Raw genomic sequence first — 20,772 nt, forward strand, 5'->3', positions numbered from 1 at the left:
CACACCTGTAATCCCAGCTACCTGGGAGGCTGAGGCAGAAGAATTGCTTGAACCTGGGAGGCAGAGGTTGCAGTGAGCCAAGATCGCGCCACTGCACTCCAGCCTTGGTGACAGAGCAAGACTCTACCTCAAAAAAAGAAAAAAAAGTAGAGGATGGGGCAATACATAGCCTGCCTCTTCTCTAACCGAGTTGTCAACTGTTTAAGAAATAGACAATAAAGAGTATGGCATATGGAGGCCAAAATGCTACTTTTATTATGAACAAAGCTGATTTGGGAGAATGCAGCTTCTCTCTACTTGCAGGCAGATGGCCATTTTAATTCTAAACCCCAGAATTAAACAGGCCTCCCAGCCACTCATAGACAGGTCTCCTGCAGGGAAGGAAAAATTATCAGCTGACAAACAGTCTGATTAAATGCTTGTCTTTTATACCTGCTATGGTTTGAATGTGTCTCCTCCAAAACTTAGGTCTTGCTAATGTGATGGTATTAAGAGGTGGGGCCTTTAAAAGGTGATGAGGCCATGAGGGCTCCTATCTTGTGAATGGGATTAGGTGCCCTTATAAAAGGGCTTGAAAGAGGGAGTTCATCCCTCTTTTTCTTCTGCCTTCTGTTATGAGGACAAAGTATTCTTCCCCCACTCCTCAAGGATGCAACAGTCAAGATGCCATCTTGGAAGCAGAGACTAGACCCTCACCAGATAAATGAACCTGCCAGTGCCTTCATCTTGGACTTCCTAGCGTCCAGACCTGTGAGAAAACAAATTCTTGTTCTTTATACATTACCCAGTCTGTGGTATTCTGTTATAGCAGCTCAAAACAGACTAACACAATGCCCTCAACCCACCTCTCTGCCTTAGTACCCATCACATTCTGTAGCAATGAATCTGTAGCCTGTCTCTTTCCTATGAGCATGTTGCCTTCATCCATTCTTCCACTCACTCAACTGGTTTTATTGAGTGCCCATCTTGGGCCTAGCAATAGCTAGGTCTTACAGTCAGGACCTCACAGAAGTGACCGAAACTGACACAACCCCTACCTTTAAGGAGATCAGCACAGAAAATATTGTAAAGGAGACAGAGTATTGTACTTGACAATAAGAAGGGCAGAGTGACTTAAAGCAGGAGGAGAAGGCTTTCTTGGGAAGTCAATTTATGATGACACCTCAAGGTCAAGGAGTACTTCAGTACACTATACTCTGATGTCTAGTAGAGGCATAGCACATAGCAGAGCTCAGTAAATGCTTAACAAATTAATGAATGAGTGTTATATGTGAAAACACTATATATGCAAAGTACCACACAGATGTTAGCCATTATCATTTAGTTAATATGGAGAGATCTACTTTTATTCAGTTCTCTGGAACACTCAAAAAGATATTATAGCATACAACAGAGAAAACTCATTAAGAGTGTCCACTCATTTGGACATACCCAGAGTCCTGTCTTCCTAGGAGACAGCTTGAAGCTATTAGGTGTAGGACTAAATACAGAGAAATTAGAGAACCAATCATCCCATTTCAATGTTTGATCAATCCCATTTTTCTCCATGCAAAAGCAAGAGTTCACAAAATTGATTTTTAAAATAGTGATAAAATGACTTTAAAGATATTGGAAAATGAGAGGAATATATAATAAAGATTAAGTATTCTATTTCACTGATGGAAGGTTATGTTAACTAAATCTGAAAATACAAACACAGCAAGCTGCCATTCCCAAATTGATATTGGACAGTGAAGAAAGTGGCTCACTCTGTCCATTGTGGCACTGGAGTTCTGACAAGCATGTGGAAAGAGACGGATACTATTTTTGAAGCAAGTAGTATGTATTAATACATTACCTCATTCAATTCTAACACTTACAAATCCTGTGAGATGGAAATTATACCCATCATTTATGAAGGAGGAAACAGGCTGATAGATTGTTATGTTGTCATGGCAGGGATTTGAACTGAAGTTTCTGACTCCAAAGCAGAGAACAGAAAAAAGCACAGAAAAATACAGGAAAGCCACTGTAGAATTGTTGACAATTAAGGAGCTGGCAAGCAAAGACACACTCAGAGCGTTTCTCTTTGCTTCCTTGCCCTCTGAACTGTTCAATAAATAGTCAAGAATGCAAAGCTAACTGCGGTATTTATTTCAGATCTGCTGTTGCTCTTCAATTTAAAAGCAAGACAGGAACATTAAATTTGTCTATTTAAATTGGTAAAGGTAGACCTCTATCAGATACAGGTGCTTCTTGACTTACAATGGGTTTATTAGGAAGGGAAAATATTGTAAGTCAAGTGCCTTTAATACACCTAACCTACTGAACATCAGAGCTTAGCCTAGCCTGCCTTAAACATACAACGCTACATCAGCCTACAGTTGGGCAAAATCATCTAACACAAATCCTATTTTCTTATGAAGTGTTGAATAGCTCATGTAATTTACGGGAACAACATCCTGAACATGAGAAACAGAATAGTTGTATGGGGACTTGAAGTATGGTTTCTACTGAATGTGCATCACCTTTGGAACCATCATAAAGTTGAAAAATTTTAAGTCAAAGCATCATAAGCCCCAGACCGTCTGTATATGAAACGCTCCCTTGGGGGCACTATGCCAGATACCATGCCTAAGGGTTTTCTAACTTTCTGTACCACATTCAAAAGGAGCATCTTCATAAAGATGTTACTGAAATCATGGAAAATATTAGTCCTTCCTTTCTTTTGCAGTTAACAGGATTTTTAAAAGAAGCTCTAAACCACAAGCATATTCCAGCAACTGTTTGTTCCTCCAAGTATGAGCTACTTCCTCCCTCTACCACCATCACTCATATACTAGTTTGAGGAAATATTAAGAAGCACAGTAAATCAGTCTGTTTTCAGGAATTGCTTAGTCCTTGAATTAATGTATTTTATAAAGCAGGATTGCTTTAGCTCCTTAAGATTTGGTTACTTAGAATAAAATCTTCCCAATTTGTAGCCAATTTGCATGCCATGTATAAATGCATGAATTTTAAAAGCACCTTTAGGATTAAGAGTTTTGTTGTCTATATTTACATAATTTAAAGCTGACTACTTAAGCAAGTTTTGGAGCAATTTTAAGAGTAGTAACGAGGCAAGAATCTTAAGATAATATACTCTTGCTGGGCACGGTGGCTCATGCCTGCAATCTCAGAACTTCGGGAGGCCGAGACGGGTGTTATCACTTGAGGTCAGGAGTTCGAGACCAGCCTGGCCAACATCGTGAAGCCCCATCTCTACCAAAAATACAGAAATTAGCCAGGCGTGGTGGCGGGCACATGCAGTCCCAGCTACTCAGGAGGCTGAGGCAGGAGAATCACTGGAACCCAGGAGGCGGAGGTTGCAGTGAGCTGAGATCACAAACTGCACTCTAGCCTGGGTGACAGAGTGAGATTCCTTCTCAAAAAAACAAACAAACAAAAAAATATATATATATATATATTCTTTAGATCCAAGAATCTAAGGATAACACCTTCTTTAGAACCAAATGTATAAATAGTCAAACGAAGGATGTTTTTAACAACATGGTCCCAACTGTGGAGGTATCATCATCTTCCAAAGCTATCTACAAAAAGGGACAATGTCATCACTGGCTAGTGAAAATTAGAAAAATTTAAGGAATTCTCAGCAAATGTCTTATTTTTTAAAACACCAATGGTCATCCCCTAAGAGGGTAAATGCACCTGCCTTTTCTAAAAACAAAGCAAAACCAAAACAAAACTCTATAGAAAGATATTATAAAATCAAGGATTAAATTTAGATTGATTAATAAGTGACTGAGGTTCTAAGTAATACTATCTCCAGGATTTTCTTATTTATTTATTTATTTATTTATTTATTTATTTATTTTGAGACGGAGTCTCACTCTGTCACCAGGCTGGAGTGCAATGGTGTGACCTCAGCTCACTGCAACTTCCACCTACCAGGTTCAAGTGATTCTCCTGCCTCAGCCTCCCAAGTAGCTGGGACTACATACAGGTGCCTGCCATCATGCCCAGCTATTTTTTGTATTTTTAGTAGAGATGAGGTTTCACTATGTTGGCCAGGTTGGTCTCGAACTCCTGGCCTCAAGTGATCTGCCTGCCTTGGCCTCCCAAAGTGCTGGGATTACAGGTGTGAGCCACCATGCCCAGCCTACCTCCAGGATTTTTAATTTCTTGGCAGGGATAATATGACATCAAAAACAAGCTTCTGTTTTATTAATAAGGAGAAGATTTATTCACAACTAATTTCTGCTTCAAATCACTTCCAAGCATATAACGAATGCCAACCTTAAAAGAGGGATTCCCTATTTGATTGTCTCAGTTTATTAGAATATGGATGGTCTTTTCATTCTAGATAACATGCTCTTTGTTTGCTTGTTTTTGTGTAGGAATTATCTTGGAATCTGATAATTCTGAGACTCTACTAATGACGAGGCACTGCATGTCTACATTATGTGCTCATTTCCACTCATTCCTTAAAATATTATGAAACACTGTTACATACAAAATATGTATAATATAATGTATAATATGCATAACATATACTATAATTATAATATAGTCATCATATAATGAGTATAACATGAAAGCATGAGGAAATGACCACCTGTGAACCTGCCATCCAACTTGAGGAACAGAGACAGTACTGTCGAAGCCCCTGTGTGTCCCTCCTCAATCACCGTGTTATGTTGATCATTCCTGTGCTTTTCTTTATAGTTTTATCACATTTATAGCTAAGAAAGTATATTCAAAATTTGGCTTTTGAATTTTATAAAATACTATTATATTGCATGTATTCTGCTGCAACTTACTTTTTCACTCAGCGTTGTTTCTGAAATTTGTCTGTGATGATGTGTATAGCTCTATTTCAATCATTTTCACTTCCATATAGTGTTCCATTGCAAGGATAAACCACAATTTATTATCAGTTCTCCAGGTCTTGGGCACGTTCTCCCCTGATTTGTACTGCTTCGATCATTTCTGTACTTGCTTCCCAGTCCTTATCTGCAAGAGGTTTTTTTGGGGGGGTATGTTCTCCAGGAACAGGATTGATTTTCATAAATTATGTAATTACATATATAAATATATACAATACATATACACAATTATTTATATATTCATGAATATACTTGTTTAATATGAATATGAAATAAATGTTATATAATTATATAGAACATATATTATAAATATAATTATGTAATTCCAAAAAGGGGTTGCCAATTTACAGTGCCACCAACAGTGTGAAAGTAATACCAGCTAACTTTTGATTTTTTGGCCTTCTAAGGGTTATGCATCTAAGGGGTACAAATGCTACCTCAATATGGTTTTAATTTGCATTTCCCTGAGCATTATTTTATATCTTTATTAGCCACTTATATTTTTTCTTCTATGAAATGTATGAAATGCTATGGCATTTGCCCACTATTTTGGGGGGTTGTCTTCTACTTGATTTTTTTTTTTTTTTTTGAGATGGAGTTTTGCTCTTGTCACCCAGGCTGGAGTGCAGTGGCGCGATCTTGGCTCACTGCAACCTCCACTTGCCAGGTTCAAGCTATTCTCCTGCCTCAGCCTCCCAAGTAGCTGGGATTACAGGCACCTGCCACCATGCCCAGCTAAATTTTTATTTTTAGTAGAGACAGGGTTTCACCTTGTTAGCCAGGCTGGTCTCAAACTTCTGACCTCAGGTGATCTGCCCACTTCAGCCTCCCAAAGTGCTGGGATTACAGGCGTGAGCCACTGTGCCCAGGCCACCTTCTATTTGATTTTTAGAAGTTTGTTTGTTTGTTTGTTTGTTTGTTTGGGACAGAAGTGTTTTTTTGTTTTTTGTTTTTTTTTTGAGCCAGAGTCTCACTCTGTCGCCAAGGCTGGAGTGCAGTGGTACTGTGTTGGCTCACTGCAACCTCTGTCTCCTGGGTTCAAGCAATTCTCCTGCCTCAGCCTCCTGAGTAGCTGGGATTACAGGTGCCCACGACCATGCCCAGCTAGGTTTTTAATATTTTTAGTAGAGATGGGGTTTCACCATGTTGGCCAGGCTGGTCTCAAACTCCTGACCTCAGGTGATCCACCTATCTCAGCCTCCCAAAGTGCTGGGATTACAGGTGTGAGCCACCATACCCGGCCGGACAGAAGCTTTTTAATGCACTATTTTTCCTCTGGGCAAAAGAAGTTCAGAAAACATCCATCAATAAGTAGATTCATAAATGGTACTTTTGGCTACAGAAGTTCTTTATATTTTCTGAATACTAACCATTTAGTGATTATATGTGAATATTTCTCCAAGTTTGATGCTTATCTTTTCACTCTTGGTTTTGCCTTTTTGCTTAAAAGAAGTTCTAAATTTTAACATAGTCAAATTTATTCAGAGATTATGCTTTTGATATCTTAAATCCTTGCCTACACCAGAGCCATAAAGATATTCTCCTGTATTTTGCTTCAAACTTTTTTTTTTCTTTTTGAGACGGAGTCTCACTCTGTCACCCAGGCTGGAGTGCAGTGGCGCCAGCTCGGCTCACTGCAAGCTCCGCCTCCCGGGTTCACGCCATTCTCCTGCCTCAGCCTCCTGAGTAGCTGGGACTACAGGCGCCCGCCACCACCCCCGGCTAATTTGTTGTATTTTTAGTAGAGACAGGGTTTCACCGTGTTAGCCAGGATGGTCTCAGTCTCCTGACCTCGTGATGTGCCTGCCTGCGCCTCCCAAAGTGCTGAGATTACAGGTATGAGCCACCACGCCCAGCCTTTTTTTTTCTTTTTTCTTTATTTTTTGAGATGGAGTCTCCCTCTGTTGCCCAGGATGGAGTGCAGTGGCGCGATCTTGGCTCACTGCAACCTCCACCTCCCAGGTTCAAGTGATTCTCCTGCCTCAGCCTCCCGAATAACTGGGATTACCACACCTGGCAAATTTTTTGTATTTTTAGTGGAGACAGGGTTTCACCATGTTGGCTAAGCTGGTCTTGAACTCCTGACCTCAAGTGATCCGCCCACCTCGACCTCCCAAAGTGCTTGGATTACAGGTATGAGCCAATGCACCCAGCCTGCTTCAAACATTTTAAATCTTGTTTGTCATTTAAATCATAAATCCGACAGAATTGGATTTTTTGTATGTATGGTATGAAGCAGAGAATTTATAAAGAAATGAATGTATTTCTTAGTTATGGAAGCTGAGATGTCAAGGTCAAGGGGCCATGTCTGGTGAGAGACTTCTTGCTGGTGGGGACTCTACAGAGTTCTGAAGTGGCTGAGCATGCTCAGGTGCTATGCTAGATTCTCCCTCTTATAAAGCCACCAGTGCCCTCCCATGATAGCCCATTAATCCATTAATCCATGTGTGGATTAATCCATTGAGGGCAGAGCCCTCATGATCCAATCAACTCTTAAAGGCCCCACCTCTCAATACTGCCACATTGGGGATTAAGGGTCAACATGAGTTTTGGAGGGGACATTCAAACTTGATATGGTTTGGCTGTGTCCCCATCCAAATCTCACCTTGAATTGTAGCTCCCATAATCCCCACATGAAGTGGGAGGGACCTGATGGGAGGTAACTGAATCATGGGGGTGGGTTTTTCCCATGCTATTCTTGTGATAGTGAGTAAGTCTTATGAGATCTGATGGTTTTATAAAGGGCAGTTCCCCTGCACACGCTCTCTTGCCTGCCACTGTGTAAGATGTGCCTTTGCTTCTCCTTCGCTTTCTGATTGTGAGGCCTCCCCAGCCATGTGGAACTGTGAGTCCATTAAACCTCTTTTTCTTTATAAATTACCCAGTCTTGGGTATTTCTTCATAGCAGTATGAAAATGGACTAATACAAAACCATAGCACTGATTTTATCACGTGTCAAATTTCCATATACTAATATTCTATTTCTGTGTTCTCTATTCTGTTCCACCAGTCCATTTAACTATCTGTGTGTATCATGTCTAATTATTATAGCTTTATAATAAATCTTAATAGCTTCCAAATTAGGGCAACTCCCTCACCTTGTCCTCTTTTTCAAGAGTATTTTGGCTCTTCTTGGTTCTTTGTTTCTCCCTATGATGATTTTACAATACATTTATGAAGTTCCATAACAAATCCCATTGGGGCCAGGCATGGTGGCTCACGCCTGTAATCCCAGCAGTTTGGGAAGCCAAAGTGGGTGAATCACCTGAGGTCAGGAGTTCAAGACCAGTCGGACCAACAGGCTGAAACCCTACCTCTACTAAAAGTGCAAAATTAGCCAGGTGTGGGGGCGAGTACCTGTAATCCCAGCTACTCGGGAGGCTGAGGCAGGAGAATCACTTGAACCCAGGAGGTGGAGGTTGCAGTGAGCTGAGCTTGTGCCATTGCACTACAGCCTGAGCAGCAAGAGCAAAACACCATCTCAAAAAATAAAATAAAATAAATCCTATTGGAATTTTGTATGAAACTGCATTAAATCTAGAGATTAATGTGGAAAGAATTAACATCTTCATGATATTGAGTCTCTTTATTCTAGAACTTATCTACCCAATTAAATCTCATTATTATTATTATTATTATTATTATTATGGTTTTTTTTAAGACAAAGTCTAGCTCTGTCACCCAGGCTGCAGTGCAGTGGCGGCGTAATCTCAGCTCATTGCAACCTCAACCTCCCAGGTTCAAGCGATCCTCCCACCCCAGCCTCTCAAGTAGCTGTGACTACAGGCGTGTGCCACCACACCCAACTAACTTTTGTATTTTTAGTAGAGATGGGGTTTCGCCATGTTGGCCAGTCTGGTCTCGAACTCTTGACCTCAGGTGATCTGTTGGCTTCAGCTTTCCAAAGTGCTGGGATTACAGTCATGAGCCACTGCACCCAGCCCATATCTCTTTATTATTTTTATTACTAATCTGTGTTTCATTAAAGTTTTAAAACATCTTACTCAAAATCTTCTTGCATATATTTTATTAAGATTTTATTTATTTATATTTTTGATGCTACTGTAAATGTTTTTTATAAATTATATTTTTACATGTTTGTTGCTAGCATATAGAAATGCAACTGCAAAAGTGCCAAATAAATTCTGTTAATTCTTATGATTTAACCATAGATTCTTTTGTTTTCTATGTAATCTAGTCTCTAATAACAGGTTTGTTTCTTTCTTCCTTTATTAGCTGTCTACTGGTGCATAATGAATAACCTCACACTTAGTGGCTTAAAACATGCACTTATTTTCTCACAGTTTCTGAGAGTCTCCTGCTCAGGGTCTCACAAGGCTGTAATCAAGGTGACAGCCAGACTGTGGTCCTTTTTAAAACTTAGTGTCCTCTTCTAAGCTCAGGTGGTTGTTGGCAGGATTCAGTTATCTGAAGCTGTGGGATGGAGGTCCCTGCCTTGTTCTGGCTGTCAGCTGGGAGTTTCCATCAGCTCCTAGTGGTCCCCAAGGTTTCTTGCCAGGTGGCTCATTCACAGGCCTTCTTACAACATGATAGCACACTCTAGTCCGCTAACAAGCAGTCTTCTATAACATAACATAATCACAAGAGTAACTATTCCATTACTTTTGCCATATAACATGAACCAATCAAAGCAGTGACTACCCCCATCACCTTAGCCATATTCTGTTGTTGTAAGCATGTCTCAGGTCTCATCCACACTCAAAGAGAGGTTGTGATTTACTTGGGGTTACTATAGAGTGGATTTCCAATCCTAATCACTTTTTTTATTGCTATACTGCATAGGCTAGGCCCCCAGTACAATGCTGAAATCATGATAGTGATTATCCTGCTCTTATTTATAATCTTAAAGGAAATCATTTAGTACTTCAGCATAAAGTAAGATATTTGCTGTAGGCTTTTTGTAAATGCCACTTATCAGGTTTAAAAAGTTCTCTTCTACTCCAAGTTTTCTAAGATTTATTTTTTAAAAAATTATAAATGGCTGCCAAGGTTTACCAAACTTTTTTTTCTGCATCTTTTGAGATAATGTGTGATCTTTTTCCTCCATTGTTAAATTACCCTGACATTGTGGAACAAACTCAACTTGATAATGATTTCTAGTCATTGCTGAATTTGCTTTACTATCTTGCTTTGGATTTTTCAAATTTGTCTCCATGATTGAGATTAATTGGGGAGTGCTTCCTCTTTTTCTGTTTTGGAATAATTTATATAAGATTGGAATTATTTTTTTCCTGAATGTTCAGTAGAACATTCATGAAAACTTCTCTGAGTTTAGGGTTTGTTTTCTGGGAAGATTTTAAAATACCAATCAAATTTCTTTAATGATTATTCAGTTTTTCCTTAAAATTATTTTGATAACATAGTTTTGAGTAATTTGCCCATGAAATTTTCAAATTTGTTGCCATGAAATTGTTCATAATAGCTTCTTTAAAAATAAATCTCTTAATCTTTACAACATCAATAGTTATTCACATTTTAAATATTTTTTTTAGATACAGGTCTTGCTCTGTCACTCAGGATGGAGTACAGTGGCACGATCATAGCTCACTGCAGCCTCCAATTCCTGGGCTTAGGCAATCCTTCCATTTCCCTCCCAAGTCACTGGGATTACAGACGTGAGCAACTCTCACAGTTTCTGAGAGTCTCCTGCTCAGGGTCTCACAAGGCTGTAATCAAGGTGACAGCCATACTGTGGTCCTTTTTAAAACTTAGCTTTTTTAAAAAATAAATCTGGACAGAAATTTATTAGTTTTTTTAAATGAATTAGTGTTTGACTTTATGGATCCTATTATACTATTTCTATTAATTTCTGCCTTTACCTTAGACATTTCATTGTATTTCCCTTTAAGATTTACTCTGACTTATTAAATCTCCTAATCACCCCATCTCAGTTTTCTCTGTTTATATTGTGTAAATATTCCATTTCTAATGTGAAGCTAGTAGGATGTTCCTTTTTGGGGGGTAATGGGGGTTCATCTTGGCTTCATAAAAGTGTAAAAATCAAAACCAAATAAGCATATATTTCATGTAGGCCAGGCATGGTGGCTCATGCCTGTAATCCCAACACTTTGGGGGTCTGAGCAGGAGAATAGCTTGAGCCCAGGAGTTCAAGACCAGCCTGGGCAACACGGTGAGACCCTGTCTCTACAAATAAAAACATTAGCTAGGCATGGTGGTGTGAGCCTATGGTCCCAGCTACATGGAAGGCTGCGGTGGGAGAATCACTTGAGCCCAGGAGGTCAAGGCAGCAGTGAGCTATGTGCCAGTGTACTCTAGCCTGGGCAAGACTCTGTCTCAAAAAAAAAAAAATTGTTGCTTTTCTCGTATCTTAGGATTATAAACTTACTTCATTGATTCTCAGTCTTTATTTCTTTTTCTTTTTTTTTTTTAATTAAGACAGAGTCTTGCTCTGTCACCCAGGCTGGAGTGCAGTGGCGTGATCTCAGCTCACTGCAACCTCCATCTTCTGGGCTCCAGCGATCGTCCCACTTCCCAAGTAGCTGGGACTACAGGAGTGTGCCACCACACCAGGCTAATTTTTGTAATTTTTAGTAGAGACAAGGTTTCACCACATTGGCCAGGCTGGTCTCGAACTCCTGACCTCAGGTGATCTGCCTGCCTCAGCCTCCCAAAGTGCTGGGATTACAGGCATGAGCCACCACACCCAGCCTCTCTGTTTTTTTTTTTTTCTTAAGAGAGAGAGTTTCACTCTTGTCTTCTAGGCTAGAGTGCGATGGGCCATCTAGGCTCACTGCAACCTCTGCACCCGGGTTCAAGTGATCTCCTGCCTCAGGCCCCCGTGTAGCTGGGACTACAAGCACCTGCCAGCCCTCCGGCTAATTTTTGTATTTTTAGTAGAGACGGGGTTTCACCATGTTGGTCAGGCTGGTCTCGAACTCCTGACCTCAGGTGATCCACCCCCCTCAGCCTCCCAAAGTGCTGGGATTACAGGCATAAGCCACCACGCCTGGCCACTAATGAATATTTTCATAAATAATCGCAACCATCAAGAATACTATACAAATTATATTTTTAAACATATAAATGAAACAAGATGGAATTGTGAAAAACGTTCAGGCAGCTGACAAGAAGCCAAGAGGCCAGGCGCCATGGCTCACACCTATAATCCCAGCACTTTGGGAGGCTGAGACAGGAGGATTGCTTGAGCCCAGGAGTTCAAGACCAGACTGGGCAATATGGCGAAACCCTGTCTCTACAAAATATACAAAATTTAGCTAGGTGTGATGGCAATGCCCGTAGTCCCGGCTACTTGAAAGGCTGAGGTGGGAGGATCACCTGAACCTGGGAGATCGAGGCTATAATGAGCTGTGATCACACCACTGCACTCCAGCCTGGGCGAAGAGTGAGAACCTGTCTCAAAAAAAAAAAAAAAAAAAAAAGCCAAGAAAAGAGAGAAATGAGAAGTAGAGAAAATGAATAGAAAATAATACTTTAAATGTAAATAATCTGAGTATACCAATTAAAAGACAGAGACTGGCACAGTGGATATAAAAACATGAACCAACTATATGCTGTTCATAAGAAATTCACCTTAAACACAACATAGGTAGATTGAAAGTAAAAAGGATGGTTAATGTTATCTTAGTAACATTATATTTTTTTCAAAAGTATAATTGGCTATATGAATATAAGATAACGTAGATCAACAGTCTTTTTAACTTAGAATGCTCCAGGAGGTCAGAATGAATAGATCCTTCCTGAATGAATCAATGAATGAATGAAGCCAAGTGGTACTGGCACATATAACGCAAAGGAAAAAAAGAGAGCAATAAAGAGGATATACTATATACAAAAATAAGTTCTAGATAGATTAAATAGAAAAAGGCTATGGAGCTATGTACAAATTAAATCTCTATTCATTAAAAACATTCTAAACATTCTAAGTTATCATATTAAAAGATAAGCAGCCAGGCCAGGCACGGTGGCTCATGCCTGTAATTCCAGGAATTTGGGAGGCCAAGGCAGGTAGACTGCTTGAGCCCAGCAGTTCAAGACTAGCCTGGGCAACCTGACAAAACCCCATCTCTACCAAATATACAAAAAAATTAATTGGGCATGGTGGCATGCGCCTGTCACCCCAGCTATCATACTTAATAGGCTGAGGTGGCAGGATCATCTAAGCCTGGACTTGAAGGCTGTGGTAAACTGTGATTGTGCTACTGCAGTCCAGCCCAGGTGATAGAGTGAGACTCTGTCTCAAAAACAAAAAGCAAAACACACACGTGCACACTCACACACACACACACACACACACACACACACACACACACACACACGATAGGCAGCAAGGACTTAAACTGTGGCAAACTGAATCCATGCTTAAATCTCTGCTCCCTTGTAACACCTACCAACTGGCCAGAAAAGAGGAAAAAGTACAAAAGCACAAAGATGAAAAGAAAAAGAACAGACAAGAGATGGGAGTAAAACTGTAAAAGATGAAAAGTGCACAAATGAGTAGTAACTGACTTAGCAGAGGAGAAGATACTAAAACTCTCTGTAAAAGGGGAAGACAAGAAACAAAAAGGCTTCAAAAAGCCTTAAGAAGAGAGGAATCAGGTACCATTGAAGTTATGAGTGGGGATAAGGAACAAAAAACAGGAGGATTAATTGAAAATAAGTTTAGGGAACAGTTAGACCTCCCATGTCCCATCTCCCACATGTACCTCTAGATGTGTATCCTCCTCCATTCCTGAAGAAGATGGGCAGTTTACTTTTTGGAGAAATTAAAATGGAAAGAGGAAATAAGTTGTTGGATTTATAAGAGAAGAATAAAGTGAAAGTCTGTATGCTGAATGGTGAGACAGCCCCCTCACCCCAATCCTTTTCCCCCATCCAGTTCTCAGCACGCAGCCAAAGCCTATAGCCTCAAGTCAGGTGGCTGGAAGAGCTCTCATTGGAGAAACTCAGTGAGAAAAATTATAAATAAGGAGTTACAGAAGTCCCTACATGAAGAGATTTCTTCCCAATTCCTCTCAAATGAAGCCAGTGGTTAACTAGTCCCGTCCATTCATGCATCTAACAAACAGCTTTTCATGGCTTTCCTCTCAAGTATTAATAAACATTCAAAGAACAGTAGATATTTTAAGAAAGTGTCTAACACAAGTGACAGACTCCTTGGCAGGAACTCATACCTATCTCTCAAAATCTACTCTTGCTTTTTATCTTGGTAAATGAATTAAAAATCTGTCCATGGGCAGGGGATGGTGGCTCATGTCTGTTATCTCAGCACTTTGGGAGGCTGAGGCAGGAGGATAGTTTGAAGCCAGGAGTTTAAGACCAGCCTGAGCAACAAAGTGAGACCCCAACAAAGTGAGACCCCGTCTCTACAGAACATTTAAAAAGTAGCCAGCTGTTGTGGCATGCACCTGTAGTCTTAGTACCTGGGAGGCTGGGGGCAGGAGGATCAATCACTTGAGCCCAGGAGTTTGAGGCTGCAGTAAGCTGTGATTACACCACTGCACTCCAGCCTGGAAGACAGAGTGACACCACACCTCTTAAAAGAAAAGAAAAAAAAACCTGTGCACGGCTGTTCAGCAACATTACATTTCCCAGCCCCTATTGGGTTAGGCATGGGCATATGTTTAAATTATCACCAGCAGAACCTAAAGAGAGGTGATGTGTGACATTTATAGCCCAGAGCCTTCAAGAGAGTGGAACTGGGCCAGGCACAGTAGCTCACGCCTGTAATCCCAACACTTTGGGAAAAAAATATAATACTAAAAAGAAGAACAACAACAAAGCATTTAGTTAGTTTGATTTTTGGGTTTTTTTTTCTTTTTCTTTTTTTTTTTTTTTTTTTTTTTGAGAGGGAGTTTCACTCTCGTTGCCCAGGCTGGAGTGCAATAGCACAATCTCAGCTCACTGCAACCTCTGCCTCCTGGGTTCAAGCAATTATCCTGCCTCAGCCTCCCAGCTAGCTGGGATTACAGGCATGCACCACCACATCCGGCCAATTTTTGTATTTTTAGTAGAGATGGGGTTTCAACATGTTGGCCAGGCTGGTCTTGAGCTCCTGACCTCAGGTGATCCACCCGCCTCAGCCTCCAAAAGTGCTGGGACTACAGGCATGAGCCACCACACCCAGCCCAACAAAGCATGTGGAAGTTAAAAATATGGCATCAGAAACAAAAACCCAATGGAGAGGTTGTAAGATAATAGTTAAGGAATGTCCCCAGAGCATAGAACAATAGGAGAAAAAGAAAAAAAAATGGGAGGCTGAAATTATCAAATAAAACAAGAAAATTTAACCAGAATCGAAAAATGAAGTTACTTAAAATTACCTAATAATGCCTAGAACAATGATTGTAAACAAATAAAATCCATTACCAAGGATAGCCCTCCTGAAACTTATTAATATTATGAAGAGAAGATGCTAAAAGTTACCAAAAAAAAAAAAAGATCACATACAATGAATCTAGGATAAGAATGGAAAATATGGCAAAAGCATTCTCAACAACATAAGACAGTGGGGTAGCCGGGAACGTGGCCCACGCCTGTAATCCCAACATTCTGGGAGGCTGAGGCGGGTGGATTGCTTGAGTCCAGGAGTTCAAGACCAGCCTGGGCAACATAGAGAAATCCTATCCCTAATAAAAATGTAAAAACTTAGCCAGGCAATTGATATCAGAAAACACCATTGATATCAGTTTTTATCCAGAACATTGAAAGATTAACAATATCCAGTATTAGTTAGACTGTGAAGAAATAGGATTTTTACATAATCGGTTGGAGTGGGTCAACTGGCTATCATTTCAGAAGAGGATTTGTAAGTACTTATGGCAATTTAAAATACACCTATTCTTTGACCCTTCTAGGAATTGAAAGTATTCAAACATGTACACAAGAACATGTGTAAAAGGATCTACTATAGCTCCATTATTCAAAAGGAAAACGGTAAAAGAAATTATGGTCTGCGTTCATAACAATGGGACATATAGAACTATGAAATGAATAAGGTCTATCTCTATGTACTGACAAGGAAATGCTTTCAAGACATACTGCTAAGTAATAAATATACATATATATATATATATATATGCATACTGCAGGACAATATGTGTATAGTATGGTCCCATACAAGTCAAATAAAACAGCGGATAAATGTGTAACTGCCATTTAATGTGGATTGAGAGAACACATATCAAACTATCGACAACGGTTATTTCAGAAAAAAAGAAGAGAAATGAGGGGTAAAGTATAATATTCTTTTATATCATTTGACTTTTTTGCAAGTAAACTTTCGTTATTATTTATATAATTTAAAATATGTTTAATAAACCAAAGAAGCACAATACAGTAAAGAAAACATAAGAGATAGTGAAACATTAAACATAAGAAGGAAATTCTATATGATGCACAATCAAATAAGGTGACAGGTTAATTGTGTCTAATTCTGCTTTAAATATTGAATACTTTTAAAATATGGTACAACAAATAAAGGGTGAATTGCAGTTAGTAGCAATGACCAATTCTTTTTGAGAAGGGCATAGTAGAGCACTGAACCAAATTCAGTCATTTTCACTTTGAATTGTTGTTTCCACTTCTATGTATTATCAAAACTATTATTTATTTTTCTGTCAGTACTTTAAGGCTCTTGTTCCCAGGCCATAATCTCATCTAAAACAACAAACAGATCCTGTTACCTTTCAGTTAGCACATACCTAATAATCTTTACACTTCCCCTAATTTTCTCCACACTATACTTGCCCAAATAACAGAGCCCTTCTTTAGGGTTTTATGGTAATTTGAACTTATCTCACTGTTCTTCTTGGCTCATATTATAGCATATATTCCAGATACCATAGAGGATATGTAAGAATTGAAAAGGTTTAAACCAACTAAAGAATACAAACAAAAGTGTGATTAACATCCATCCTGACCTTCTTTCGCCACTGAAGCCTCTAAATTGAGAGTTACTCTAGGAAAGCATATCAAAAATAGCCTTAGACTAGCCATATGCAGAAGACTGAAATTGGACCCCCACCTTTGACCATATACAAAAATCAACTCAAGATGGATTAAAGGCTTAAATGTGAAACCTAAAACTATAAAAACCCTGAAGAAGATCTAGGAAATACCATTCTAGACAACAGCCCAGGCAAGGACTTCATGACAAAGTCAAAAAGCAACTGTAGGCCAGGTGCGGTGACTTACTCCTGTAATCCCAGCACTTTGGGAGGCCAAGGCAGGCAAATCACCTGAGATCAGGAGTTCAAGACCAGCCTGGCCAACATGGCAAAACCCCGTCTATATGAAAAATACAAAAAAATTAGCTGGGCATGGTGGCGGGCCCCTGTATCCCAGCTACTTGGGAGGCTGAGGCAGGAGAATCACTTAAGCCTGGGAGGCAGAGGATGCAGTGAGCTGAGATTGCCCCACTGTGCTCCCCTCCACAAAAAGAGCAAAAACTCTGTCTCAAAAAAAAAAAAAGCAACTGTAATAAAAATAAAAATTGACAAGTGCGATCTAATAAAACTAATGAGCTTCTGCACAAAAAAAGAAATTTCAATAAACAGACAACCTACAGAATGAGAGAAAATATCTGCAAACTATGCAACCAACAAAGGTCTAATATCCAGAATCTATAACTCAAACAACTGAAGAAGCAAAAACAATCAACCCTATTAAAAAATGGGCAAAGGACATGAACAGACGATTCTCAAAAAAAGACATACACATGGTCTGCAAACATATGAAAAATGCTCAATGTCATGAATCATCCGGGAAATGCAAATCAAAACCACAATGAGATACCACTGCACACCAGTCTGAATGACTATTATTAAAAAATCGAAAACAACAGATGCTGGTGAGGTTGCAGAGGAATTGGAATGCTTATACACTGTTGGTGGAAATGTAAATTAGTTCAGCCACTGTGGAAAGCAGTCTGGAGATTTCTCAAAGAACTTAAAACAGGACTACCATTCGACCCAGCAACTCCATTACTGGGTATATGCCCAAATGAATATAAATTATTCTATCATAAAGATACATGCATATGTATGTTCATTGCAGCACTATTCACAATAACAAAGACATGGAATAAATCTAGTTGCCCATGAATGGTGGATTTGATAAGGAAAATGGGGGACATATACACCATGGAATACTATGCAGCTACAAAGATAATGAGATCATGGCCTTTGCTGCAACATGGATGGAGCTGGAGGCCATTATCCTACGTGAATTAATGCAGAAACAGAAAACCAAATACTGCATTCCTCATTTATAAGTGGGAGCTAAACACCAAGTACATATAGGCACAAAGAAGGGAACAACAGGCACTGGGGCCTATTCGAGGGGGGAGGGTGGGAGGAGAATGAATATTGGGAAACTACCTACAGGTATTATGCTGATTACCTGGGTGACAAAATTATCTGTACACCAAACCCCCATGACACTCAAGTTACCCATGTAACAAGCTTGCACATGTACCCCTGAACCTAAAAGTTGGAAATAAAAAAAAAATAGGAGGAAAACAAAAATTAGAGACACAAATAAATGAGAGTTTTAAAAAGAAGACATAAATTAAAAAGTGAAAATTTAACTATTTAGAAATTAAATTTTCTCAGAAACCAGGTCAAATTTAAGATAAATTCCGTTGGAGTTTGATCACTCATAATTTTGATGCTCTTAAGTGTTTCACTGCTGATGACAATATACCACGAGTTCGTGCTTTCCTAGCACCCTGTTTGGTGGTTCCCAGATAATACATACTATCCTTGTTAATATTCTAAGATTTAAAATGTTCCAGTATAAAGTAAAATTTTGAAAAATAAAATGTTACTGTATACAACGGAAAACAGTTACAGAAACAAACTCCCTCACAATGTTGCTATAGAAACAGGGATGATGATGGTGATGATACTTTACTGGTTAACCTCACTTACTCCTCACACCAATCTCATATAATGAGTACTATTATTATTATTCCCATCATTTTAGAGATGAAGGAAGTGAGGCTTGGAGAGATCAATTCTGTAACTCACTCAGGATCTTGAACTTCTAACCACTATGCTTCACTGACTCTCCTGAATAAAGTCACATTATTATACCTCAATACTGTTCTTTTTCTTTCTTCCTTTTTTATTTATTTATTTATTTTTTTCTTGAGTCAGAGTTTCACTCTGTCGCCCTGGCTAGAGTGCAGTGGCGCAATTTTGGCTGCAACCTCTGCCTCCTGGGTTCAGGTGATTCTCCTGCCTCAGCCTCCCAAGTAACTACGATTACAGGCATGAGCCACTGTGCCCAGCCTAATACTGGGTTTTCAAATCAAGTTTTTAACCATGAGGACTTGGAACATCCAAGTTTCTTCAAATAATGAAATCCAAACATGTTGTAAGAGTAGACCAAATCTTTCCTTAATATCAGATATTTTGCAGAAGAGGAAACTAAGGCCCAGGTGCTTAAATAATTTCCTCAAAGGCAAATGGCCAATAATGGAAAGAGCTGGTACCCAGGTTGGTACAACTTAAAAAGGCATTGGTCTTTTTACCTTACCCTGATACCTTCCAGAACACAGAACCATCCTTTAAGCAATACATACGTTATGTAATACATGAAACACAGTATGCTGTATTATTGCAGGTACAATATGAATATACAGGCCGGGTATGGTGGTTCACGCCTGTAATCCCAGCACTTTGGGAGGCCAAGGTGGACGGATTACCTGAGGTCAGGAGTTTGAGACCAGCCTGGCCAACACTGCGAAACCCCATCTCTACTAAAAATACAAAAATTAGCTGGGTGTGGTGACACACGCCTGTGATCCCAGCTACTCGGCTTGGGATTGAGAATTGCTTGAACCCGGGAGGCAAAGGTTGCAGTGAGCCGAGATCATGCCACTGCACTCCAGCCTGAGAGACAGAGAGAGAATCCCTCTCAAAAAACAAAAACAAAATATGAATATACAAAATATTAAGAATTTGCTAAAAGAATCTGTAAGTCTCTAAAGTTTTCCTATAAAAAGCAACATTTTATATTAATTATATTATTTACATATAAGACTAAATATTTCTGATATTTAAGCTTCTGTTCTACCTATTAATCCAACAAATAAAAGATTATCAAAAATTAAGATATTACAATGATACCACAACATTATAAAGGTTAAAATATGGACTACATTTTCCTAAGACTTATTCAGGCTCTTCCAACTTCTAGCTAATCTTACCCTAAAAGTAAATCAATCTTTTCTAATTCAAAATACTTCTATAAATTGAATTAAAATGTTTAACTGATGACAATATGGATATCACAAAAAATAAATAGCATAGTAATACTGTTTTCCTTTTGATTTAGGAAGAGATAACATCTCCAAAAACTACCCAGTGAAGTAGATGATATTCTGTTGCCAGTTCAAAGCATCTATATTATGCAGGCAAAGATTTCCAAAGCCTACTATGTTTTTGCTTTGAGTTGCTCATAAAAGTTCCCTGCACCTCATTAGTGCAATGGTTTTATGACTAAAGGACACCAGTGTGAGACTTTAAGAGTTGTAATGTTCTCCAAAATTGAAGTATAATCTCATACCCCTTATTCAATATATAGAAAATTCACCAAGTAATAACCTGTTGAGCGATTAGAAAACTGCAATCATTTGCAGTTCTCAGTCCTTTTATGTCATAGAAATTCATGATGCTTTTTTGCCATCTAGTTTTACTTCTTCATTTTCCTTATCAAGCATCTAAAAATAAGTGAAATTCTAAAGTCTTTTTAAAAAAACCTTGTCAGATTTCTTTTAGGACACCATGGAGATATCTACAAAGTGTTTTGAAATTCATGTAAGTATCTACACTCTGAAAGTGAATATCTGGCAGAAATAATTTCAGTCAATAAATTTTATAACCCCCTGAAATTAACACTT

At 39.1% G+C, this 20,772-nt stretch overlaps 1 protein-coding gene across 6 annotated transcripts in view; it reads right to left on the bottom strand.

Annotated features, from left to right (window-relative positions):
• TPTE2 (transmembrane phosphoinositide 3-phosphatase and tensin homolog 2) overlaps nt 1–20,772 on the bottom strand; it is a 138,698-nt gene that overhangs the window by 108,920 nt on the left and 9,006 nt on the right. For 4 of the 6 annotated variants that reach the window (NR_073487.2, NM_130785.4, NM_199254.3 and 1 more), the window contains exon 1: nt 4,800–4,967. The exons of the other annotated variants lie outside the window; for them this stretch is intronic. The gene's annotated coding sequence lies outside the window, so the exon portion shown is untranslated. Of the gene's footprint in view, nt 1–4,799; nt 4,968–20,772 lie in introns of those variants that run through there. 6 annotated transcript variants of the gene reach the window in all.

Source organism: Homo sapiens, chromosome 13, assembly GCF_000001405.40.
Source record: "Homo sapiens chromosome 13, GRCh38.p14 Primary Assembly".
Classification (NCBI taxonomy): domain Eukaryota; kingdom Metazoa; phylum Chordata; class Mammalia; order Primates; family Hominidae; genus Homo; species Homo sapiens.